The following is a 26,629-nucleotide window of genomic DNA, read 5'->3' as shown; positions in this document are numbered from 1 at the left end:
TTATCTATAAATTTATCTCATTTATAAGAAAGGTCACAAGATTTCACTAGAAGAATATATACTAATCTTATTTTGCATATTAGAAATCAGTGCCTTATTAAGTTTATCACTAGCTCATGCAGTCATCCTGAAGCAATTCCTCATGACCACATGGTCTCACTTCATCTCTACTATACTCCAGTCCAAAACTGTGGGTGTCTTTAGAAGCATTTCATACAAGCACATTACACTAAGGCATGCTTTAACTTATGAATATCTACCTGAACCAGAGACTTTTGTACCTTCTCTCATGATGGCAGAAACTATTCTTCATTCTATTTGTACTAATATACACATTATAGATTCTGAAGTTGCTTAAAATATAAGAAGAGAAAACTTCAGAATACTTTCCATTTTTTGTTTAGATCCAACATCTAACATTTGTCAAAATAAACATGGATCTCAGGGTTCTGGAAGAGATTCAGAATTCATCTGGGTAAACTATATTTTATACATAAGGAAACAGGCTTGGGGAGGCTGAGTTACGGGGCAGCTTGGTGATACCCCAAGCAGCCTATTTAATATTCCTTTTACTCTTCAGGGAGGAGAAGCACAGATACTTCTAAAGCAATATATCAATTTCAGGATACTTCAACAATACTCAAAGGTTAAGTCTTTACCAAAGGTCTCTAAATGACAAGAACTGCTTATAAAGTAATACATGGTGGGGTGCGGTGGCTCATGCCTATAATCCCAGTGCTTTGGGAGGATCAAATGAGACCAGAAGTTTGAGACCAGCCTGGGTGAGAAAGCAAGATCCCATCTCTACAAAACATAAAAAAATTAGCTGGGCATGGTGGCACATGCTTGTAATCCTAACTACTCAGGAGGTTGAGGCAGGGGGTTTGCTTGAGCCCAGGAGTTTGAGCAATCTCACCACTGCACTCCAGCCTGGGAGACACAGGGAGACCCTGTCTATAAAAAAAGATTAATAAAGTAATACTCGATCATTTCTACTTTTATCTAACTTGTTTGTAAAATATAAGTTAACATTTTATTTTGAAAGAAGCCATGCTGCTTTTGTACATATGCATTTCTGAAGAATAAACTTTTTGGTTTTTTATTGTTCGCATAATTAGAGAAGAAATTTAAACATGTAAAGTCACCATACTTTCTAAAGGCTGCAAAGATCCCCATTCCAGCAAACACCAGGACAACAAGGAGCACCAATGGAATAGCCACCGTTGTAATGTTTATTCCTAAAGAAGACGGAAAGCCATCACGTTACAACATAAATGACCAACAACCACTTTTCATGATTTAAAACTGAACATGGAATTGAAAAGTCTTTAAGCATTTAATATAGGGGGAAAATGAATACATGTTAGGCATTTACTGATATTGGAAAGCAAAAAGAAAGGATTCAAAATCCTGGCTAAAGTTTGGGAAAGTAAAATTTCTCCCCCAGCCCCCCAGAGACAGTTTCCAATGTTCCTCAGGGACTAACAGGCACACTGGGCTTGTTGCTTGGCCCATATTAAACTCCAAAAATCTGAAATGAGGGGAGAGTTTAACCCCTCCCCCACCCCTCAGGTGAGAACTATTTAGACAGGTAAATGATTTAAGCACAGTGTGGAGCTCCTACTTTGGCTCAAGCAACACATTTCCCCAGATGGCAGGCGGGTTTGGACCTGTACCATAACAATAGTCTGGAAAACTGGGATCCTCGTTACAGAGCTCTGGGGCTGCGGACTGAGAGGAAGTGCAGCCTGATGACCTAAAACTGCATTTCCACTATGTTGCATGAAACACCACATCATGTTTTCCTGCAACTCTTTCTGCTCTAAAAAAAGGACACTTTGACAGCCACCAAGGCAGGCCCCAAGTTTGTAGAAAATACACAAAGTAAAGGAAAAATATTTGCTCTTCATCTTTCTCTTCTGTGATCCCTGGGAAGAAAATAAAGGGATGCTTAAGAGTGGAAAAATGCAATTCATGAAGAAGGGGAAAAGGGATTTAGATGAAAACCAAATTTGTGTATAAGTAACAGAAGTGTTATTATTACTTCTTTTTCTTTTTTTTTTTTTTTAAGAGATGGAGTCTCGCTCTGTCACCCAGGCTGGAGTGCAGTGGTGTGATCTCGGCTTGGGCAACCTTCGCCTTCTGGGTTCAAGCAATTCTCCTGCCTCAGCCTCCCGAGTAGCTGGGACTACAGGCGCATGCTGCCACGCCCAGCTAATTTTTTGTATTTTATTAGAGACGGGGTTTCACCATGTTGCCCGGGCTGGTCTCGGACTCCTGAGCTCAGGCAATCCGCCCGCCTCGGCCTCCCAAAGTGCTAGGATTACAGGCATGAGCCAATGTGCCCGGTAGCGGTGTTATTTTTAAGAGTGAAAATTTGGGGAAAATCAAATAACTTAAAGCATCCAACAGCAGGGGAATGGTCAAGTAAATAATGGTTTATCCATGTGAAAAAATACTATAAAGACATTAATAATTGGGGTTTTCAACCTTCCAATAACATTGGAAAATGCTCATAATACAATGTTAAATGAAAAATATATGCTACAGAACAGAATAATATGATATGCTACCATTTTTGTCTTAAAGTTAGAAACATAAATATAGTTGACTAGAAACAGTGAGATTTGGTGATTATCTACGGATACTGATTTATGACTAATTTTTGTTTTCTTATTTGTGTTTTTCTAATCTTTCCAAATTCTTATAAAATTGATATGCAAATTATTTTATATTCTGAAAAAATGTACTTTTAATGTTATTTGAATAGATTATATACTTATATGTTCAAAATGCAAACCGTATACAAAAGTATGGAATGGAATGTGTCCCTCCTACCTCTGTTCCTCCTTCACAGAAAGCCGCATTATGTTTTCTTGAAATTTTTCTAGAGATACTGGAATGAATATTTATTCTTTGTTTCTCCTTTTTGCAGAAAGGGTGGCGTGCTACTTAGATAGTTCTATATTTTGCTTATTTTTTTTAAGTTGCCACTATATCTCAGACAGCTTTCTATATTACCAATTTCTATATTTCCATTTTTTTTTTGTATGGCTGCAGAGTGTTCCACTGCATGGATGTGCTAATGTTTTATTTTTCCACAAAATATGTACCTAGTGTTTGAAGGGCACATAAGTTCATTCCTAATCTTTTTCTATTTATAATACTGCAATGAAAAGCTGTAAACATACATCATTTTACATATGTGCCAATACCACTGGATCATCCACCTCCAATGTTTATATGACAGAGAAAAAGAAATTTTGTTGAAGTTACTGATATTGGGTGGGTTACCAGTTATGCTCCTTATGAAACCACAGACAATCACGGCTCTACCTGTGGATGTTTCTTCCGAGGGGATGGGCCTTGTGATTGTCTCATCTTCTTTCTTAGTTGAAACACTGGTGCTTTGACTTGTCTTGCGCCACACCAATGAATCATTACCTGAGAGAGGAGGGATGTCGGGAAAACCACATGAGTAACAATGATAGGCGAAAAAAAATATGACCAAACTTGAGTAACTCACTGGCTTGCCCTGAGCCCTACCTTGTGTAATCTGGCAACCAATGAGCTCCACCTTCAAGGCTATCCTCTGGTGCCATGTCTGGGGGACAACCCGCACATATCTGGCCACGATGGGAGGGATGAAATTGTTTTGCACTGGGTCCCGAAAGTTAGAGTTACCCTGAAACACCTATAGAAGGAAATTATGTTTACCTTAAGATTCTATTAGTGAGTTTTTAGGTGTTTATCATCCCACTTATACCTGGTTATATGAAACCAAGGCAAGGATTCTATGTCGGTTGCATTTTTCTAGACACTCTTGATATTGAAGATACGAGGCTTTGCAAACAAGGGCCAATTTATCTAACTAAGGTGGTGCTGCTCAACTGTTTACTGATTTAAATTTCATTTTGGATAAAGAAGCTAAAATTGCCTTGTTGTATTATTTGACCTTAATATTCCTACATTCAACTGGTGCTATAGACAAGCAACCTCAAGAGCACAAGGCTTCAGCTCTCTCACTTTTGCCATTTCCTTCCGAATTCTCATTGTCACTAACAGGATCCCAAGACAAATGTCCAACTCAAACATCTACCATACTTATACTGAAGCAGCCATTTTAAATGGCCAATTTTCACTTCCCAAGAAAATCACAAGTATTTCATTCCTGAAGTAGAAAAGAATTAAATCACAAAGATCTCTCAAGGTTTTTATTGACACATTTCTTATTCTTGGATTTGGATGCCAAGAAAGCCCCATCTTTCTTTTTTTCTTTTTCTTTTTTTTGAGATGGAATCTCGCTCTTGTCGCCCAGGCTGGAGTGCAATGGTGCAATCTCGGCTCACTACAACCTCCGCCTCCCAGGTTCAAATGATTCTCCTGCCTCAGCCTCCCAAGTAGCTGGGATTATAGGCACCAGCCACCACGCCTGGCTAATTTTTGTATTTTTAGTAGAGATGGGGTTTCACTATGTTGGCCAGGCTGGTCTTGAACTCCTGACCTCGGGTGATCCGCCTGCCTTAGCCTCCCAAAGTGCTGAGATTATATGCGTGAGCCAGCGCGACCAGCCCATCATCATCTTTTTAAAAGTTTTATTTTATTTTAGAGACAGGATTTTACTCTGTTGCCCAGGCTGTAGTACAATAGCACAACCATAATTCACTGTAACCTTGAACTCCTGGGCTCAAGTGATCTTCCTGCCTCAGCCTTCCAAGTATCTAGGACTACAAGTGTGCACCACCACATTTGGGTAATTAAAAATTTTTTTTTGTAGTGGTGGGGTCTTGCTATGTTGCCCAGGATGGTCTCAAATGATCCTCCTGCCTTGGCTTCCCAAAGCTTGGGGATTACAGGCATGAACCACCATGCTTGGCCTCACTGTCTTTTATTAATGAGATATTTAATGTAAACACATTGATGAAAATATATAGAGGCCTGTTCTCCTACTCAGTTCTCTTGCCTCTAGGGTTACCTCTTACCTTTTCTTCATTATTCACAATTCCTTTATAGGTCTTCCACTTAGAATTATTGTTTTTGAAGTTCATCACAAAACTCTTAACATAAAAGTTGAAGTTCGACTGTGTAGATCCTGTGGTCCTAATTCCTTGTAAGAAAATAATATTTACAGGCTATTTTTAAAAGTTTGTTAAATATAACATCTATTATAATTTCAAGTTTCATTTTTTTCTCCCTCATTTGAAACCTCAGATCATCTCACAGGCCAACTTATATTAGTTGCATTTAAAAATCTCTTCACAGATTAATGTTTTCACACTGACAATACACCATATAAAGATTTCACCATTGAAGAATTATCTCTCTAATCCATATATCCATATTTACAACTTGCATACAGATTCTTTTCACAGAAAGAATGTAAAGATTTGTTACATTTTCAAATATTTCAAGAACTTGGAGGTAGGTAGAGAAGCACCTATGTAAACAATAAGCGTATTTTCAACTACGAGTCATTTACAGTCATGAAACTACTCCTGCACTTGGCACTTGTGTTATTTTCTGCACCTGTTATTTTCTTTTTCTCCCCCAAATCGATCTCCAGCCACTCTCGTGGTTTGTGGTTGTTGCTACTGTCGCCCGAAGCCCATGATGGGCCTTGGTCCTGAAGTCGGGCTTGGCCAGGAGACCAGTGAACTTGGTCTCCACTCTCATTGACCGACTGCCATGAGGAAGAAGCTCTGATTTGCCCGTCAGGTTCAAAACTCAAGGATCTGCTGCAACCTGAAAAAAGAGTGCAGTAAGATATTTTAGATACAGACATAAAATAACAGCAAAAAAAAAAGTAGTACCACATCTCACCTAGAAATATTCAACTAGTTGACTTTTATTCTGATATGGAATAAAGTGTTTAATTACCAGCTTTTAAACGGTCCAGACTTGCATTTCACTCATTTGTACTACCATGCCTTGAAACTGTTATTGCTTTTCTTTTTAATAGACCTCCAAGTCACATCCTTTATAAGTGACACCTCTTCGTCCCCACTGTAGATTTTATTTTCTAACCTTCTATATTCATCCTGATTTCAACAAAATGCAATCTGTGTTAAAGGTTTAAAATGATGTGTTCCTTCTCACTTTAAAAGATTTAGAATCAGATGGGAACCCCATTTTTTCCACATACTTGAAAAGCAGATGTGTCTAAGTCGTCTGAACATCAGTAAGTTGTACCCAATATTCATCCAAAGGACCTTAACTATACCATGCCCAATATACCAATGTGAAGGCAGCAATAAAGGCAAAGAAGAAATATTTGTAGTGTTTTCCTTGAAACGGTTTATGCTAAGGGAGAATATTTACATAGAATACATTCCATGATGGAGAAGCTCAAAAGCCTTTATTTTATATACTCATTTTCAGTAACTTTATTCAAAATAATAACAAACCAATTGCAATATTTGAAAGCTTTTTCTCTTAAAATCTAAGATAAAGGGATTTATTTTAAAATAAATATTTCACTTTTTATTCTTTTTGGCAAAAGTTTGAGAGTTTAGATTATAAAGAAACATATTTTCTGCTTAATGTTAATTAGGCTTATTGTCCTGTGGATGGTTAAGTCAAGAAGATTTGGTGAGGGTGGCTGAAGTAAGAGGATCGCTTAAGCCCAGGAGTTTGAGATCAGCCTGGGCAACATAATGAGACTCTGCCTCCTTAAAAAAAAAAAAAAAAAAAAAAAAAAAAGGTGCTATGTAACCTGAGAAAAAAGGAAAAAAAAAAAAAACAACCTTTTAAACTACATAATCTGAAGGGTATGGAGGAATAAACTACTACTGAAGACTTTTAAAATATCAAATTCTTTTTTTTTTTTTTGAGATGGAGTCTCGCTCTGTTACCCAGGCTGGAGTGCAGTGGCGCAATCTCAGCTCACTGCAAGCTCCGCCTCCCGGGTTCACGCCATTCTCCTGCCTCAGCCTCCCGAGAAGCTGGGACTACAGGCGCCCCCCACCAGGCCCGGCTAATTTTTTGTATTTTTAGTAGAGACGGGGTTTCACTGTGTTAGCCAGGATGGTCTCGATCTCCTGACCTCATGATCCGCCTGCCTCGGCCTCCCAAAGTGCTGGGATTATAGGCGTGAGCCACCGAAAATATCAAATTCTTAAGGAAAGCATGATCCTTACCATTGGAGGTAAACAGAAATCGCTTGTCTGACAGGGAACCACTGAAACAATAAAGACAAACATGAGAAGGTAAGTTGCTCACCTACATCTTAGTGACTAATATAGCTACATCCCAGGGCTCACAGAACTTTCCCACCTGTGCTTCCTTACATGATCCTCACAACACCCCTGCAAACCTACTGCTATTATCTTCATCACTGGTATTTTATAGAACAGGAAACTTAGGCCCACGGAAGGTAAGCAACTTTCCTAAATTCATATAAGTGACAAGGGGCTAGGAAAGGGGCTAGGACTCTGAGATGCTGCTTTTGAATCAGAATCCTGTGCTATTTCCACCATGCTGAATTTATTGGAAAGGAATGTGTAGATATACAGCCTCAGGAATAACCTTACATCTCAATTAATTATTGCAAGATGATGAAGACAGAAAGGATTACTGCCCTGAAATCTCCCTTTGTTTCAGCAGTCACCTTAAAGTGTCCCACTCATTTCCATCTGCCTTCCCCACAGATCTCGTGACTCTCACTGAGGATGTTTCAGCAGTGTTACTCTGGGGACAGTCTCTGCCCTGTCTCTCTCTCCACGGCCACACTCCTACCTACTGTAGCAACCAGCACCAAGTCTTGAACCAGCTCCTGCTTCTGGATGACAAGGTACAGCTGGAGAAAACACACAGCATGTCAGTGAGCTGGCCTTACTGCCGCTTCTATCACTATCACAGGAGAAATGATTGCATCAGCCTCATTCTGCAGTTGTCTCCTTCAGTGCAGAAGACATTCCTAAGGCCACAGGAATGTCCTTATCTACCTTTGAAGACCAGATCAACCTTTAAAATAATCCCTCACAAAGTCAGTGGTATGAAAAATACAGAGAACGAATGGAAAATCTGGGGGCCTCAACATTAGCTTTATGTGCACAGTATTAGATACTAGAGGTAAACACCAAAAGGTAGATGCCCCTGTTGTGTCCAACTTTTTACAACTATTTTACAATCTCAGAGTGCTGCTTATTATTTTAAATGTTTAATTCTGAATTATAGATGGGAATAATGGACACAGAGAGTACTAAAACATGAAATCCACAAAGAACCCCAAAGTACTCTGGCCAAGAGTCTAAGTACCTTCCCATCAAAAGCTCTTTTTAGAAGTAATGGGTAGTAAAACTCTCTAGAATAGATTTTCTCTTTCACATTGTCTATGCTTGGCAGACTCCATAAACCCTGGTATTCCACATCTAGGTTCTTCTATAATCTCTGCACTGAATATAATGCAGGCACCAATCATTACTTACATGAGAAAACTCAGACCCACTTGGGTCCTGGGACTTGCCTAAGTTCACAGTTAGCAAAAAAGCTTGGATGAGAACTCTCCTGACACTTAAAGAAAGGCGCTAATCATATTAAAATTGTATTAAGATTTATGTGGAGCCTCTCTTTTGTCTCTTTTTCCATTTTCTCTAACGTTCCTACGCTGTTACATTTGAAATGTGGCTCAAATAAGCCTAAATAATGCTGCGGCGACCCTAAGAAACTAAGCTCACTTGCCATGAAACATTAATTTTGTTGTTGACCAAAAAGTATGGAAAGGATACCTTTGGAGTTAATCCTGAGAAGAAACCAGGAAAAGCTCTACTTCTAACAGCTCTCTGCCTGGCTTTCCTCCGTTATCAACTGGAAAATGTTTTTCCATTTCATTCCATTGAACGAATTAAATACAGACCACTTAAAGAATTCTATAGGTTAATAAGCCTACTCTTTTAAAACTAAAAACACCCTAGGGAGGTTAGGGTTCTGAAGCATTCACACATTAGAGTGAATGAATTCAATCAGATTACAGGAATAAGGAGGCTTCCCAGAGGGCTACAGAAGCAATCAAGATTAATCTGATGGAAACAGAAAGAAGGTTTTCACTTCTGATGGTTAGCACCATCGTCCTCTGTATGAGGTCAGTCTCTCTTCCTGATACCATTCTGGTCTCTTCAAATCAAGGAAATGACCTGACCGGAGATGAATCCCAGAAGACCCCTGGATATTTACTTTAGGGACTCCTTCTTCCTCAGCTGCAATACTTCCTTCTCTGGTTTTTCCTGAATGCCAAACAATCATGTGTGGGAACATAAGTTCAATGACCGCATGTACAGTGTTTCCCCAGGAGTAAAACAACACAGATGAAAACAACTGCTCCCTGAAGATTTCAAATCTAAATGAGTGGAAGAGGCTGTGTGAACATACAGTTAACTATTTGCTCAGTGCAAAATCACAGATCTAGAAATAAGAGATCTTGATATAATTCTGAACTTTCTATCTACTCCCCCCAAAATAAAAATGAGACAATTAGTACAAATAATTATATGGAATATGAAGCAAAACCCTTTCTAATTCACTAATGGTTTACATTTGTGTACTCTACTTTTTGCATGGAAGTTTAACGTCAAATTATATAAAATATATAATATATACTTTTCAAATTATATAAAATATATTATATATGTATGTATTAAGTCCAGTTGATGTAGCAGAAGTTAACTGAGAACGTAAAGTCTAATTTATTAAATAGTTTTAATAATGTTTGTTCAAAAGTAAGATAAAATCCAAGTTAAACTTTTTGTTATCCTGTTTTCCTACAAAAGGGGCATTCAAAGATATACAAATACAGACAAACGATTCCAAAAAACAGATTGAGAGCCAAAGGGAAGTTCTTTGTCCCTGTTTGGAGGTGGTAGCACCTGACAAATTCAGGCTAGAGCCTGTTATCTTCCTGAAGTAGCACCCTCGTATCAACAGAAGAAACCATCAAAAAACATAAAAAGGAATACATTCTCAAAAGTCAAGTTCAAGTTGGCATTTAAAGGTTTACTGTGCATAAGTGATCACTTTTACTATAAATCAGGATGTAAACTTTAAAATAAAATTTAATGTTCTGAAAAGTATGTGGCAAATATTTATGTGAAAAATGTTATATATATGTGTGTGTATATATGTATAATTTTATTGAGTGAAGATTTTAATTTCTAATAGCATACTGTTACTAAACCTTTGGATCTTAAACCTTGGCACAAATTTAGAGACTAATTTGTCTTTGAATGTTCAGGCAATATGAAAAGAATACTTTGTGTCCTCTCATAGCTAAAAATCTATCCAGAAGGGGAAAGTAAATGGGAGGGTTATGGTAGGCAGAGAACACAAATATCATGAGGTAAGCCTGCATGTCCAAGTGCACGGCATGCACTGCTGTCCTTGGTGGATGGAAGTCTTTTGTGGATTACGTACAGTACTACTTGCATTGCTTGTGAAAGAGTTATGTTGGAACATCTTCTCTAGTTACTCTCACCCCGACCCCTGAACTCAGAATTGCCAGTGAGAGGCTCTGCCTTTTCTCCACAGACACCCACCAGCCAGCCTCCTGGCCGTGAGCATGGTGTGCTGATGGCCACCACCACCCCTCTCTAACATTGCTCCTCAGTCTTGACTCTAACCCTGTAATCTCCCTTAACTTCAGTTACTGCTTCTAAATGCCACTGCCTATGAACATGGGCCAACAACCTCAATCATAAAATGGGTGTTAGTCCCAAAGTTTATATGTGAGTTCGTAAGTCGGTTCTTCAGAACTTAAGACACATTTTCCAATAAAAGCAATGTTATAACTTGTGGTCAGGATACCTATTTGACCTATGACATTGCTAACTAAAATACACTTAAATAAAAAGTAGGAGGGGGAAGGAAAATACTACTAAACAATTATCAAAATAACATCAGAGTCACCATATCTATGCCGACTAACTTGAGAACCTATCCAAGATAAGATGGCCCATCATCCATTGTGAAAATGGAACAGCAAAATACGACCATGTTCCTTCTGATGCAAGAGGGGGCTAGGACAAAATAGCAAGGGCAGGGGGAGAATGTCATACAGATTAATGAGTGATAGAATATATAGGTCCTGACATTTTTTCCCCCACTTCTGGATCCCAAAACGCCTAAAACCTCTGTCTTGTGCCTTATTCTTGGAACCCAGGCCATATGAAAACCTGTCCAAAAAACAGTTGCAGAAGGCAGAAGGAGAGAATGAGAGAGAGAAATACAGTGGCTCAAGGAGCACTTTTCTCTCACTAGGTTTCCACTCCAGGAGTGTCTCCCACTTGGCCATTCTGAACTGCCTGTTTATATGTGTGGACGTCTGGACCACAGGGTAGGCTGACACTGAGTTCTACACAGCTCTAGTTTTACACCTTCTAATGGCTGAGGAAATCTGAAAATATGAAAAGATTAAGTTGAACCATTTAAAGCACTTAACACATTTTTTTTCTCATGAAGCTAAAAGAGCACAGGATAAAAACAAACGAAGAATATAACGTTAACAAAGGCCATCTTTTTAAACAGTGTTAACAAAGGCCATCTTTCTTCACTTCCCAAACTCATCACTAAACAACTGTCTCTAGGAGTGTTCTAGGGAGCTCAGTGGTTCTGTAAGGGTTTCAGATGATGATAACATTGGAGACAACCAGTAACTTATAGAAGCTGTAAAAACCCAAAAAGGATTAAGCCTTTATTTTCTCCCACAAAAGCACCTGAGAGTAAAAACACTCCTCTGCCCCAGGGCTTCAGAGTGTGCCATTTTAATTTACATGTCAGCATAACCAGTGAGCTTTCTGATTGCTACATTTATCATCCATGCAGAGACCAGAAATGCTGCTCTAAGCACTCATGCATATTTTTCCAGTTGACAAACCCTTGCTATCACATCCCTGCTGTCTTTTCAAAGTTGTGAGCTGGTTAATTATCCTTCAGGGTTACCTTCTACTCAGAACAAACGATACTGAAAAAAAATACTTACTCCCTCGAAAGAACACCATTGGCCAGAATCCCTTCATATCGACTGATCCCTTTGCGCTGAAGCACACTGATCTGGCCACCTAGTTCATCAGCAATTATTCCTGCATGGATGGCAGCTTTGCACAATAAAGAGGTCTGAAACACAGCAACATCATTATGCAGAACTTAAAAGAACACAGTTAAAATATAGTTGGAGTTTTCTATTTTGTTTCTGTGGTAATTTATAGTAGTGGCCCCAATGAATAAAGCCTTCCAATGGCCATGCCCTGGAGTTGTCACCTCCCTCACTGACTCTGGACCATGTGACTTGCTTTGTTCTGCTGCAGATAACAGGGCCTAGCTAACTGCTACACATGTGAGTGAAGCCACCTTAGACTCTTGAGCCCCAGTTAACCTGCCATATGATGGCAGCCACAAGAGTGATTCCAGGCTAAGGGAGCTTACTAATCCAATCCAGTGTGGGTGGAGGCAAATTGCTCACCCTCAAACTCATCAGTAAATAAAATGGCTGCTACTTTAAGCCACTAAGTTTTGGAGTGGCTTGTTAAGCAGAAATCGATAACAGATCCAGTTTCTTATACTTAGGCTATTAGACACACATGCCAAGTTATCATTTAAGAAGCTGAACTTTCAATTCCACATGTTCATTTTTAAATTAGAGATTTATCAAGGTACCAAAACCACAATGGTAATGACAGCCACAGAACATTAAATGGAACAGAAAGCTTAACGAAGTTCCTAGAGGGATGATGAGCAACTCAGGGCTGACAGCCTCCATCTCACTTCCTGAATCCCCTCAGGAGGCATCAAAAAGCCAGTGCCAGCTCAGCCCTGCGATGTTCAGTGTGAGGTCTCAGCAGGCTGCTGGCTGTTCTGACAGATGCAGCAGGAACAGCAGACTGGCTCTGATTTACAGGCGGTTGTGGGATTGGAATCGGCTCTGTCAGGAAGTGGCGCTACAGAAACGACTAGAACTTTCTATGGGGTGCCCAGGCCTGTGGGTCCCCAAGTGTAGACCTCTGTGGAAGAGTGTTAAGGCACTCAGACCCAGGAGTGAGGGGATAAGAAACATAATTTCCTAAATAAACCTTAGCTATGCTCCACTTCTTCATGACTATTAATGCCAACATAGAAAGGCAGCTCATGAAATTTATCTCAGTAACTGGACTCAAGAATTTCTCTTTTTGTTAATGACAATGCTGCTTACCTTATTTACAATGGAAAAGTTCCCTTAGACTTAAGTTACAACAGTATAAGGACTAATGAGACAAATCATATTTTGCAATATAGTTGCAATAAAGTTGAGAATTTTGTGATATTCAATTTAGAGAGTTCATATTTCCCAAACTAGATTAGGTTTGGCAAAGTGAGTCAGTTTTGCAATAACTGCTATCCTAACAAAAGAGAGGAAAGATTTCACCACAGAAAGAAAAAAAATGAGAATACTGAAACAGATGCAAATACTACCCTCCCTAATCTTGGAGGAAAAAAAGAATTAAAATTAGAAGAGAAAAAGATCGTAAAGATCGTACTCTTTAATAAGAATGCAGGTTGCTTTTTCATCTTTCCTGAATTTTCTGTATATTGTTCCTGAATTTTCTTTCATTAAAAAGCTTTCTTATCATCAGTTTGGACTCCTGGGTCCAAACAAAACAGAGGAGCCAGTTGAAGAGGAAAAGTCCTGAATTTAAATTTAGCAATTTATCTTGTCATCCTGGCTTTGCCTCTAACTCCACAAAGTATATGCAAGTCATTCCACTGCTCTTGACCTGGCTTCCCATTCCTCTGGACAATGACAAGCCTGGACTGGATGTTGTCTAGTGCATGGGTCCCCAAGCCCCCAGGCTGTGGACTGGTACTGGTCAGTGGCCTGTTAGGAACCGGGCCACACAGCAGGAGGTGAGGAGTGGGCAAGCACACATTACCGCCTGAGCTCTACCTCTTGTCAGATCAGCAAAGGCATTAGATTCTCACAGGGGTGCAAATCCTACTGACAACTGCGCATGTGAGGAATCTAGGCTGTGTGCTCCTTATGAGAATCTAATTCCTGGTGATCTGAGGTGGAACACTTTCATCCTGAAACCATCCCCCACCCCGTCTGTGGAAAAACTGTCTTTCACAAAAGTGGTCCCTGTTGCCAAAAAGGTTCGGGACTGCTGGTCTAGTGTCTTTTCTGAAGGTCTGTCACCTTGTGATTCTAAAGGGTACCCAGTACACCGTTTATATTATAGGACCCATGCAGGCCTGTCTCCCTCGCTAAACCCCAGAATGAAAACCAGATCAGTTCAGTGGTCTGCTGAGCAGCTATTCCCACTGTCCTTGGGATCCCCGGTCTTCATACTAGGAACCCTGCCTATTGAGAGCTCTCACTGGACTTGGCATGTCCCAGGGCCTCCTTGGCTGTAAGATGACAGGTTCACAGGCCAACGAGCAACAGGATCTAACAGCATCATTGGCCAACAAATATTCTCGTTTCTCACAGTACCCAGTATTGAAGGAATTCAATGGTGAATACCTTTTTTATAAAATTTTTATTTAATTGCAGCTATGGCTTTCCATAATAGGTTGATGCAAAAGTAATTGTGGGTTTTGCCATTTCTTTTAATATTAATTGTAGGCTATAGGATACATCTCCAAAAGACTAGCCATCAAGTCTCACTATCATATTATTATGATAAAATTACCAGCATTTTCCAGGATTATTTTCTTTAAAATAGTCACTCCCTCATCCATCCAACTTAAAGGAAATTGATGTTTATTTGTCACTTTTTTGGTACTGATTTTTAAAATTCACATTTATTGAACCTGATTTTTGAAAATTCCCTTTTGAACAGATGGTACAATTTATACTTTTATTTTCTAGCTATTTTGAAGTCTAAGTCTCACTGAAATGTAAATATTGGAAAGCCATATTACTTAACCCATGTACATGGGTACATATTACCTAGCATATGTACCTAGCCTATGTACATTCTGCTCTGTAGAGCAGAACGTCTCTACAACCAGCTGGGCAGAATTTGCTGGAAAAAGAAAAATAAATAATTTATATTTTATTAAATTACACAACCAAAAATACTAAACTGTACTTAAATACTTTCTGTCCTCCGTATAATATCTTGCTTTAACGGCAAATTAGAAACCTGATTTGTGAAAATATAGATTGATCTACAATGTTCATCTGAAGGCAACTTTTACACAATAATTATTTGTTTCATATAAGGATTCACCATAAAGTCTATTAAACAATGAGCTTCCTGGCTGGGCACAGTGGCTCACACCTGTAATCCCAGCACTTTGGGAGGCCAAGGCAGGTGGATACAAGGTCAGGAGGTCGAGACCATCCTGGCTAACACAGTGAAACCCCGTCTCTACTAAAAATACAAAAAATTAGCCGGGCATGGTGGCAGGCGTCTGTAGTCCCAGCTACTCATGAGGCTGAGGCAGGAGAATGGCGTGAACCCAGGAAGTGGAGCTTGCAGTGAGCCAAGATCACACCACTGCACTCCAGCCTGGGTGACAGAACGAGACTCTGTCTCAAAAAACAAACAAAAAACAACGAGCTTCCCTAATGCATTTTACTTGATTCTAAGAGGTTCGGCTATCCCTGACAAATGGTTTTAATTAGTAAATTATCTTAAACAAAATATACTTAAACAGAATAATGTAAATGTAATAATTCTTTAGGAAAGGGAATGCAATGGCCAGCTGAAGAGAATACCTTCATGCCTCAGGCAATTGCAGGTGGATGGCATTATCTACAATAAACATTTCTGAAGTTCACTAAGCCATAAATGATGGCCAAACAGATTAGTGTGAACTAAGGCTAAACAACTTTCAAGCAACTATCAAATCATCCCAGAATTTTCTTAACTCTTCCTTTAGGAAAAATCAACTTGTACTAAAACAGTGTTGGCAATGTTTTAAAAGGAAGTGTAACAAAAAAGTAAACATTTTAGGTTGCATTTAATAAAACATGAACCAAAACCAGTAAGGTAGAATAAAACACATGCTTAAAAATGTTGGTGGAATGATAGCAAAATGTTAAATTATCAAATATATTCCCCTTTCCATCATATGAATTATTTCTGTGCTGTTACAGTCCTCCTAATTACCATGTCAATAATGTTTTCTTCACAAAATGTGCATTCTTTATAGAAATGCTGGAAATAATGAAAAAAAATCACTCATATTGTCATTACCCAGAGATAATCACTTGCCATTATAATGTATTCCTTCTGGCTTTTTCTGGGTGTGTACAAGAGGCCCAGTTTCTCCCCTTCTCCTCCTAAACTGCAGCGCACTACATGTTTACTGTCTCTATTTTACAGTACTTCTTGAACATTTTGGGGAGAGGAGAATTGCTGAAACAAATTAATTAAGTGATATGTTCTGCTTAAAAACAGATGGTTTAGTTAGCAGGCTGGGGAGAAGGTGCCAAGAGAAAAACTGTTCTGGGGGCAGGTGAGGCAGATCTTAAGAGAAGCCCATATTCCTTCACTGGCATTGGAAACATACACCAATTTGGATGCCTTAATTTGTCAGTAGGAGACAGAATTACAGAATCTCAAAAATTCAAAAAGGACTTTAAAGTTCCCCCCTCACACCTCCTGACAGACCACCCCCATCTCCACTCTACAGCACCTTTCCCACACAAAGACAGTCTATCCCTGACAAATGGTTTTAACATCTACACCTGACATTTTCAGTGACTAGGAAATCACTGTTTCTCGAGACAGCCTATCCCATTTTGCATTGTTCAATTATTCCTTATATGCAGCTGAAATTGGCATCCCTGTAACTTTTATCCACTGATCCCAGTTCTGCCTTTTGGAGCAACACAGAATAAACCAATGCCTTTTCTATAATAGCTCTGTAAGACAACATATTCTTCCCTGAGACAGGGTACCTCCTTCTTCAACAGCTCCTCTAGTTATTTATTTTACATATTCTGTTATCCTGACCTATAGGATATGCTTTGGTTTTGCAAAGATTCTTCTGAAAAGACTTGCTACAACTGAACGCATTTCCCAAGATGAAGGCACTGTGGAGGCAGACTCTAAGATAACCCCCATGATCCCTGCTCCCTGTATCCCCTCTTGTGGAATCCCTCTGAATCCCCCTGAGTGTGGGTGGGGGCTGAGATTTTCTTCTAAGTCTATAAGAATACGGCAAAAGTGATGGGATACCACTCCCATGATAACATTATATAAGAGTGTAATCTATCTTGCTAGGAGATCCCTTTGCTCAAAGACTCTCCCTTGTTTGCTTTGAGGATGCAAGTGGCCACGTTGGGAAGGTCCACATGGCAAGAACTGAGGATGGCCTCCAGCCAAAATCCAGGAAGAAACCGAGGCCCTCAATCCAATAACACACAAGTAACTGAATGCTGTCAACACCACATGAGCTTAGAAGCAGATCCTTCCCCAGCTGAGCCTCCAATGAGATTGCAGCCCCAGCTGACACCTTTGTTGCACCTTTATAAGACCCTGAAGCAGAGAACCCAGCTAAACCATGTCCAGTCTCCTAACCCACAGAAAATGAGATAATAAATATGTGCCACTTTAAGCCTCTAAGTTTATGGTAATATTATTATGCAGCAATAAATATCTAATACATCCATGACATTGACATACACAAAAAAGGCACTAATCCGAGTTCTTTGAAGAGAGTAGCTTTCAAAACACAAAATTTCCTTGCAGATAAAATCATTCTAAAAGCAAATAGTGCAAAATCAGTTAGTGGGTCAAATAGGAAACCTGTTTGCCAGCACTTAGGGATCATGTACTCCCATCTACCATGCAGGAAACCATTTACCTGTTATGCTAAAAAATATAGCTCTGTCAGGAGGAGGTAAGATAAATATCTACATTAAGAAAAAACTATGCTATTTCTCTTATTGTACATAATTCTTACATTTCTTGCATAGAACAGGAAAATGATAAATAAAAACTTTCTATTGCTGGGAAAAAATGTCAACTTTTTATTTCTCTTAATTCCCTGTAGTCATTTAAGAATTGCCTGAGCCAAGTAAATCTTCAAACTGAAATAGTGTAAAACATTTTAAGAGTCAATTTATAGGTCAAATGAGTATCCAGTGTCAATCTTGTAAATAAAAAAACAGAAAAGGGGAACGAAAGGCAAAATAACAAAATCTGCTGTTCCCAGAATCAGAATGTGCTAAAAGAGAAAATCACAGTCAAACTTTTTCCCTATGCCACAGAGGATTTATCAATCACCTAGAACAAGTAGATAAAGGTTATTTTCCCACAGGCATAAAAATACACGTTAATAACTTTAAGAACAGTTTCACAACAATAGGTTTTTGCTATAGATTTCTAATAACTCAGGCACTTTCCAAAAGCTAGGCTATAAACCCAACTACTTCAAATAGCAATGTAAATTTTTAAAAAATCAGATACTAGATTTCTGTAAATAGAAACAAGTGGAGGATTATGTATCTGAGATACAACATGCAGGAACAATGTATTACTACATAACCCAGGTAGTCTTACTGGACATAAGAACTTGGTTTGCAAAGAGAAAGGCGAATAAGAGCAGGGTGGATGGCTTCACTGGCCCCAGACACAATGTCACTATTCTATGATACGAATATTCATGTCCTTTGCTCTATTACAGGAACCAGTTGGAATGTTAAAGAAATAAACCATAACAAAAAGGATGCAAATCTATAACCTCTTACAAAAAGTGGATGGAATAATACTCTGAGATGGCAAAGTTTTTTCATTTCATTTATAGTAAGCTTAGCTGGAAATGCTAATAGGAATGAATGCATGGGTAACCTTGGTTTTTATACTTATTTCATTTATTCTCAGAGGAGAGAGACTCATGCATCTATCTAGAGTTTTATATCTCATTTGACTTTACTCAGTAATTAATTTAGGCAGAGTAAAGCACTTACTCCTTTTAATTCATTCTCTGCCATTACCCTCAATTACTTACATCTCTATATCCATCTACCATATTCCCAGAAATGTCTCCTGCTACGTCTCTACAACCAGCTGGGCAGAATTTGCTGGAAAAAGAAAAATAAATAATTTATATTTTATTAAATTACACAACCAAAAAAATTAAACTGTACTTAAATTTTTAAAGTATTTTCTGCCCTCCATATAATATCTTGCTTTAATGGCAAATTAGAAACCTGATTTGTGAAAATACAGATTGATCTATAATGTTCATCTGAAGGCAACTTTTATACAATAATTATTAGTTTTATATAAGGATTCACCATAAAGTCTATTAAACAATGAGCTTCCCTAATGCACTTTACTTGATTCTAAGACTTCCAATAAATATTTTTCAGAAACAGGAACATTTCTAAACATTATATATAGTATAATCTTGTTTCTATAAGAAATGTTTAAAATATGTAACAATTTTGTTTTCTATGGATAAAAAAGACAAAGAAGAATATCCCTAGATTCTCTCTGGGAGTAGGATTGTGAGGAACTTTCACTTTCCGTGTTATACATACTGTAATATTGCCATAATATTAGCACTGTCTGATAGAAATATAATGGGAGCCACATATACAAATTTAAATATTCGAGTAGTCACATTTTTAAAAAGTAAAAAGAAATATGCAAAATTAATAATATATTCTATTTAATCCAGCATGTTCAAATTTTATCATTTCTAAATGTAATAAACAGAAATAAATACCAATAAGATATTTTCTCTTTTTTTGATTTAACTTCCAAAATCTGGGGTGCATTTTATACAACACCCCTCAATTTGCACTCACCACAGTTCAAGTGCTCATTAGGTACCCGTGGCTAGTGGCTACCGTATTAGATGGTCTGGCCTACATTAGTTATGAAATACTTTTGCAATCAGAAAAAAAGGATATATTTTAAAATTAGGATTCCAAGGCCGGACACAGTGGCTCACGCCTGTAATCTCAGCACTTTGGGAGGCCAAGGCGGGTGGATAACCTGAGGTCTGGAGTTTGAGATCAGACTGGCCAACATGGTGAAACCCCATCTCTACTAAAAATACAAAAAAATTAGCCCGGTGTGGTGGCAGACGCCTGTAATCCCAGCTGCTTGGGAGGCTGAGGCAGGAGGGAATCACTTGAACCTGGGAGGCGGAGTTTGCAGTGAGACCAGATTGCGCCACTGTACTCCAGCCTGGGGACCAAGAGCAAAACTCCGTCTCAAAAAAAAAAAAAAAATTAGGATTCAATTTACTTAACAGTCATTTTTCAAGAAACTTTCCAGAAACATGTCATAGTATGTGGTGCAGCTGAAGGGTGTCAGTGTTAGGAGCAGAGTGACACAGGCTCCAGCACTACCTAGCTAGCAGTGGGACCCTGATATTGCATATAATCTCTCTTAGATTGTTTCTTCATCTCTAGTCCCTTCAAGTGTCAACATATCAACAAGATATGAAGACAGCTATAAACATCTATAAAAAACACACAAAAAGGAAGCCAAAGTATTATAAAAATGTTGTCAGCTTTGAAGATGCATGCCATGTGCCCTTACTTCTATATAGACACCACTTTACATAATGTTTACTTGGTTTGTTTAAAAAGAGTGTACCAGCCCAAACAGATTCCAGAATAGAAGTTGTTTTTATTTCATTTCCTCTCAGTGTCCTCCTGCTGCCTTGGCAAATTATATATGTAACAACTAATTATCAAAACTATCCAAATAAATATTCCATAATTTTTTCCCATTGACCTTTTGGAGTCCCTGCATTGCAGCAGTACTCGCGGAATTAAGAAATAAAAATAATGGGAATTCCCATTACAGGGTAACAATTCCCTAGAGCCAATTCCCTTAGAATCAGCTGTATTTCAGAATTCAGAATTTCTTGGATTCTAGAAAAGTAAAACAGTTCTAATGATGTATATGATGTAATACGCTGGTGGGGTCTGCACACATTAATAAAAAACATTAAAATACTTGTGTCAAATGCCTTAATAATCATATTAAATAACATATGTAAAGACATGTTAATCTAGTCCAATTTTGCTGTCAAACGAATTTAAGGTCACATTAATCAAGAATCACCACCAAATGAGTTACAAAAGGCTTTCAAAACTTTCTATACTTCATAATTATGGATGAGGGCTTGTGGACCTGTATCAGTCACCAGGCCTTATCTTTAATCTAAACACTACAAAATGGCTGGGCTAAAGCTGAGATAATCTGGCACCATAATGCCACCCTGTAAGCTTGGATATATTCCCTTTCTTTAGGAGAACAGGAAATGACCATTTGATGTCCAGAGGCCCTATCACCAACTGGGACTGTAGAGGTATAGCTATAATAGATAATACTGGCATATGTGTATATTGGATGAACAGTAACTTTAAAACCAATATTTAATTATCACTCATTTTCATTTTTCCCCCTATTAGACATAATATTAGTTAACACTAGAGTTGTTTCTGCACATAAAATAATCTCATTCATTAGAATGTCCAAATGTCTGAGATAGGACCACAGGCTCTTAAGTCTGACTCCCAGGCTACACTTACGAGGTGTGTAGCCCTCAGCAAGTCTTAATTGGTTTGTACTTTGGTTTTTAGGATGTAACAGAACCTTCCTTGCAGACATGTTGAAATGGTCACAAGAGCTACTTACTCTGTGCTAAGTGCAGACAGCTATATCGAGCACTAGGAAAGCACTCTAGAGAGTCATAGCTGGGTGCCATGATTCACACTTGTAATCCCAGCACTTTGGGAAGCTGAGTCCAGAAGTTAGAGATCAGCTTGGACAATATAGAAAGACACCCATTTCTAAAAAAATTTAAAAATTAGCCAGGTATGATGGTGCACACCTGTCGTCCCAGCTACTTGGGAGGCTGAGGCAGGAGCATACTTTGAGCCCTGGAGTTTGAGGCTGTAGTGAGCTATAATTATACCACTGCACTCCAGCCTGGGCAAAAGAGCAAGACACTCTTTCATAAAAAGAGAAAAAAAAAAACAGTCATAGTTTTTGTTAGTGTTGTTGACAATGATCTCTAGACTAGTGGCTCTCCACTGGGGGCGATTCTGCCCACCATGAGACATTTGGCAATGTCTGGAGACATTCTTGGTTATCACAACTGACATCTAGGACATAGAGGCCAGGGATGCTGCTAAGTATCTAACGACGCACAGGACAGCCCTGCAATATAAAGAATTATCTGACCAAAATATCAATAGTGCCAAGGCTAAGAAATTCTGCTTTAGACTGTTTTACTTGATAGATGAGCAAATGTACATCAAAGTGACTAAGTAGTTTTTCCAGCTAAAGCTGGGTTGAAAATTTTCATCTTATTTGCAGTAGGTTTTTCTCTAGTGGTAAAGACAAAATGCACCTCCTCCCAAATGAAAGAATTTTAAAGGTCACTCCCAAATACCAGCCAGGAAAAAAAATACAGTCTAGACTCGGTAATGATTCATTGGCCCTATAGTGGAACTCAGGGGTCAGCAAACTATGGCCTGTGAGCCAAATCCGCCCTACTGATGTTTTGGTAAATACAGTTTTATTGAAACACAGCATGTCTGTTAGTGTATACATGGTGTCTATGGTTGCTTTTTTGCTACAACAGCAACAGAGATTATATGAATAAATGCAACAGAGATTGTATGGCCTGGAAAACCTGAAATATTTATTATCTACCCCTTGACAGAAAAGGTTTGCTGACTTCCTGCTATATAACAAACTATTTCAAATATTCCTCATTAGTTACAACATGAATGGTAAAAAGAGCTTTAAGTACAAACGTATCTGGTTTAACGTGAAAGAAAACAAAATGTTCAGCAATACACGACTGCAACACAGTTAGGATACCTATACTTACCTGTATTCTGTCTTCAAATAATGGCTAGCTCGTTCCAAACATGTTATTAAATCTGTCATAAATAAAGATAATTGCAATTAATAGAATGAATAAAAACTAGGACACTCATGCTGCAAAGCTTTCTTTTAAAATAAAAGAGTTTTTAAAAAGCATTTATTCACTATGTAGTTATCAGAATTTTCCTTTTAAAAATAAACACTGAGAATCACTGTCTCCAGTATTTAATGAGTTCCTTTCGTTTCTTTTTTCTGCCACCAATGACAGTTTTTCAACACAATCACCTAGTAAATGATAGCAGAATCTGTAGTTAACAGAAAAAAACAATACTCTTTAGTTGCTATCCACTATATGCCTATGAAGACCATGTGTATAATGTCCCCTGGCAGGAAGAAAATAATTTCAAAAGCCCAACACAGTTCACAGAGAAGGTTCCCACAAACATTTTAATTCAACAATTTAGCCAGTGGCATCTGGTGACAGAGAAGCACATCTTTACCAAGAAAACCTACAGCATATAAGCTTTCATCAACCAGGACAAAGCATTTTAAAAAAGAAGGTGCTCTCTGGAGTAATTTACAGAACCAAACTAATATTCAGCAATAGAGGCTAAGATACAGTGGACCTTGATGCATTTAGATCAACATAGTATGGTTTCCAAAATATTCCACACTTACTGTAATAGTTCTTTGGGAGCAATATATGGTGAACACTGGCAATGCAGGCATCTGCTGTGATTAGTCAGAGCTGATTGGCTAAGAGGAAAATGAATGGCGCACCTCACTCCCAGAGCTTTTCTGCCAGAGAGGACTGACAGCAGAAACCTCTATGACCATAGGCAGATTTGGTATGGGCTGCACAGAATTACTCTGAAGCACAAGAGCCCAGGACAGGAGCCCGTGCTTCTCTCTCTCATCAGTGTTCGTGTTTCCCTTCCCTTCTCTCCCATACAAGTTTTCAGCTTTAAAGTTATTACACTGTGTGACACTGACTTCCTCATCCTACACACACTGTGCATGCCTCCCGTGCTGGTGTACTGGCGTGTGTTGCGGAGGGGCTCACTGGTGAAAAGCGTTGCCCCTGAGCTAGGGAGGAGGATGGGGGAGGGCTCCAGAGAATAGTGAAGACTTCGAAGGGTCAGGAGGGGAACACAAAAGTGTGTTATCCAAGGTTTTTAGGAAAAATGAGATGAATCCTATCCCATATAAGTCAACTGATCAATCTAACATGCTAATAAGCTTGTCCAACCCATGCCCCTTGGGCCACATGCAGCCCAGGATGGCCTTGGATGCAGCCCAACACAAATTCCTAAAGTTTCGTAAAACATAATTATAAAAATTTTTTGCAAATTTTTTTTAGCTCATCAGCTATTGTTAGTGTATTTTATGTGTGGCCCCAAGACAATTCTTCTTCTAATGTGGCCCAGGGAAGCCAAAAGATTGGACACACCTGTGCTGCAATATGATTCAGTTCAGACCTAACCATTTACAAAGATACCATGTTCCTCTTCTCCCTCATATCTTAATTCTGCATCTGAGTCCACAATTATGTCCAGGGATGGGGATAAGTGGCAAGAGGAATTCTTAGACAGATAACATTTAGAGATTTGTGTTGATTCTTCCGTTATACCTGGATGGTCGCTGCTCGCATAGGTCAGCAAAAAACCCCGGCCAGAAATGTGGGATCCACTCTCAAAGCGGACGGTTACTTCACTTGTGTTCAACAAGAGTTCTTTGGGAACAGTCATACTTCCACAGTATGGACCTAAAAACAAAGCACACTTGTGGCACATTTCAAAATTTATACCAGCACAAATGACTGGTATATGGCATTTTTTTCCTTGAAAGGCCAAATTTACTAGACAATACATATGTATGATTATAATCTTTACCAACTGAAATTTAGCTTGACGCTCAGACTGATAATTTCTGACTGATTGTGAACTAAGCCAAGGGGGAAAGTGGCTTACTCTAGACAAGCAATAGGCTGGAACTAGTTAACTGTGAGCAACCCAAGAGATAGGTTTTGTTTTTTGTAAAAAGAAGACAAAGGTCAAACACATTAGGTAGTAAAGAAAATTTTATTACAAAAATGTTATTCTAGGGGCCTCCTAAATTTGCTCAAATAAACTAAAAAAATCATTTTTTCGGGGAAGTTTTAAAGTTAAAAGACTTTGCAAAGCATGGTAAGAATTTTATTCACATGCAGCATTCACATGCAGCATACACACTGATTTTCCTTTACAGTAACTTCTGGTTAATCCCCAAAATTCATTTTGATTTATAAAATGTACATAAAAGCAGAATAATTTCTAAAGCATTTTGAAATATTATAGTACAAAATTATACAATTAAGGGTATAACATTGTTTCCAAAATAAGTTGCTTGAAAAGCAATAGGGATCTCAATGAACTTTCAAAGGGCAAAATTACATTTGGAGCTTAAAATAACGAAAACTCTTCCTAAGACTACTCAAACTGAAGTTTAGCTTTTAACTTGTCATTTCGAAAGTAACATACGCAAGACAATCTCTATGAAATAGAGATTAGCAAGCAAATTTTGAAGAGAGGTATTATTTATTAACTTTTCTCAAAAACAGTATGGAAATAGTCAGCGGCAACAACAATCATGATGAAGGAAGAAGAATAAAAGAAAAAGACTGCTCCAAGTCAATACGAATAAAACCGGGTTATATTAACCAGAACCAATAGGGACAAAACTGCTTGATATGGTTTTGCTGTGTCCCCACCTAAATCTCATCTTGAATTCCCATGTGTTGTGGGAGGGACCTGGTGGGAGGTAACTGAATCATGGGGGAAGGTGTTTCCCGTGCTGTTCTCATGACAGTGAATAAGTCTCATGAGATCTGATGGTTTTTTAAAAAAGGAGTTCCCCTGCACGAGCTCATTTCTTTTGTCTGCCACCATATGAGACATGTCTTTTGCCTTCTACCATGATTTGAGGCTTTCCTAGCCATGTGGGACTGTAAGTCCAATTAAACCTTTCTCTTGTAAATTGCCCAGTCTCAGGTATGTCCTTATCAGCAGCATGAAAACGGACTAATACAGTTAAGTTGGTGCCAGTAGAGTGGGGTGCTGCTGAAAAGATACCCGAAGATGTGGAAGTGACTTTGGAACTGGGTAACAGGCAGAGGTTGGAACAGTTTGGAGGGCTAAGAAGACAGGAAAATGTGGGAAAGTTTGGAACTTCCTAGAGGTTTGTTGAATGGTTTTGCCCAAAATGCTGATAGCGATATGGACAATAATGTCCACGCTGAGGTGGTCTCAGATGGAAATGAAGAACTGGTTGGGAACTGGAGCAAAGGTGACTCTTGTTATGTTTGAGCAAAGAGACTGGTGGCATTTTGCCCTTGCCTTAGAGATTTGTGGAACTTTGAACTTGAGAGAGATGATTTAGGGTATCACGTGGAAAACATTTCTAAATAGGAAAGCATTCACGAGGTAACTTGGGTACTGTTAAAGGCATTCAGTTTTATAAGGGAAGCAGAGCATAAAAGTTCAGAAAATTTGCAGCCTGACAGTGCGATAGAAAAGAAAATCCCATTTTCTGAGGAGAAATTCAAGCCAGCTGCAGAAATTTACATAAGTAATGAAGAACTGAATGTTAATCCCCAAGACAATGTGGAAAATGTCTCCAGGGCATGTCAGAGGTCTTCAAGGCAACCCTTCCCATCACAGACCCAGAGGCCTAGGAGGAAAAAGTGGTTTCCTGGGCCAGGACTAGCATCCCTGTGCTGTGTGCAGCCTAGGAACTTGGTGTCTTGTGTCCCAGCTGCTCCAGCTATGGCTGGAAGGGGACAACGTAGAACTCGGGCCAGGACTTCAGAG

The 26,629-nt window shown here is 38.7% G+C and overlaps 1 protein-coding gene across 10 annotated transcripts in view; it reads right to left on the bottom strand.

Annotated features, from left to right (window-relative positions):
- Positions 1–26,629, bottom strand: part of DCBLD1 (discoidin, CUB and LCCL domain containing 1) — an 87,185-nt gene that overhangs the window by 25,497 nt on the left and 35,059 nt on the right. For 7 of the 10 annotated variants that reach the window (NM_173674.3, XM_047418676.1, XM_011535771.2 and 4 more), the window contains 10 exons: positions 24,412–24,546; positions 22,786–22,837; positions 18,928–19,000; positions 11,969–12,102; positions 7,137–7,177; positions 5,527–5,742; positions 4,983–5,107; positions 3,547–3,694; positions 3,337–3,444; positions 1,151–1,238 (listed from right to left, as the gene is read on the bottom strand). In NM_173674.3, coding sequence (NP_775945.1) covers positions 1,151–1,238; positions 3,337–3,444; positions 3,547–3,694; positions 4,983–5,107; positions 5,527–5,742; positions 7,137–7,177; positions 11,969–12,102; positions 18,928–19,000; positions 22,786–22,837; positions 24,412–24,546 — 1,120 coding nt within the window. The remainder of the gene's footprint in view (positions 1–1,150; positions 1,239–3,336; positions 3,445–3,546; positions 3,695–4,982; positions 5,108–5,526; positions 5,743–7,136; positions 7,178–11,968; positions 12,103–18,927; positions 19,001–22,785; positions 22,838–24,411; positions 24,547–26,629) is intronic. The other 3 variants (NM_001366460.2, XM_011535774.3, NR_158983.2) reach the window with 2 other exon arrangements.

This window comes from Homo sapiens, chromosome 6 (genome assembly GCF_000001405.40).
Source record: "Homo sapiens chromosome 6, GRCh38.p14 Primary Assembly".
In the NCBI taxonomy this organism is placed as follows: Eukaryota; Metazoa; Chordata; class Mammalia; order Primates; family Hominidae; genus Homo; species Homo sapiens.
This window is presented reverse-complemented; position numbering and strand designations above follow the sequence as displayed.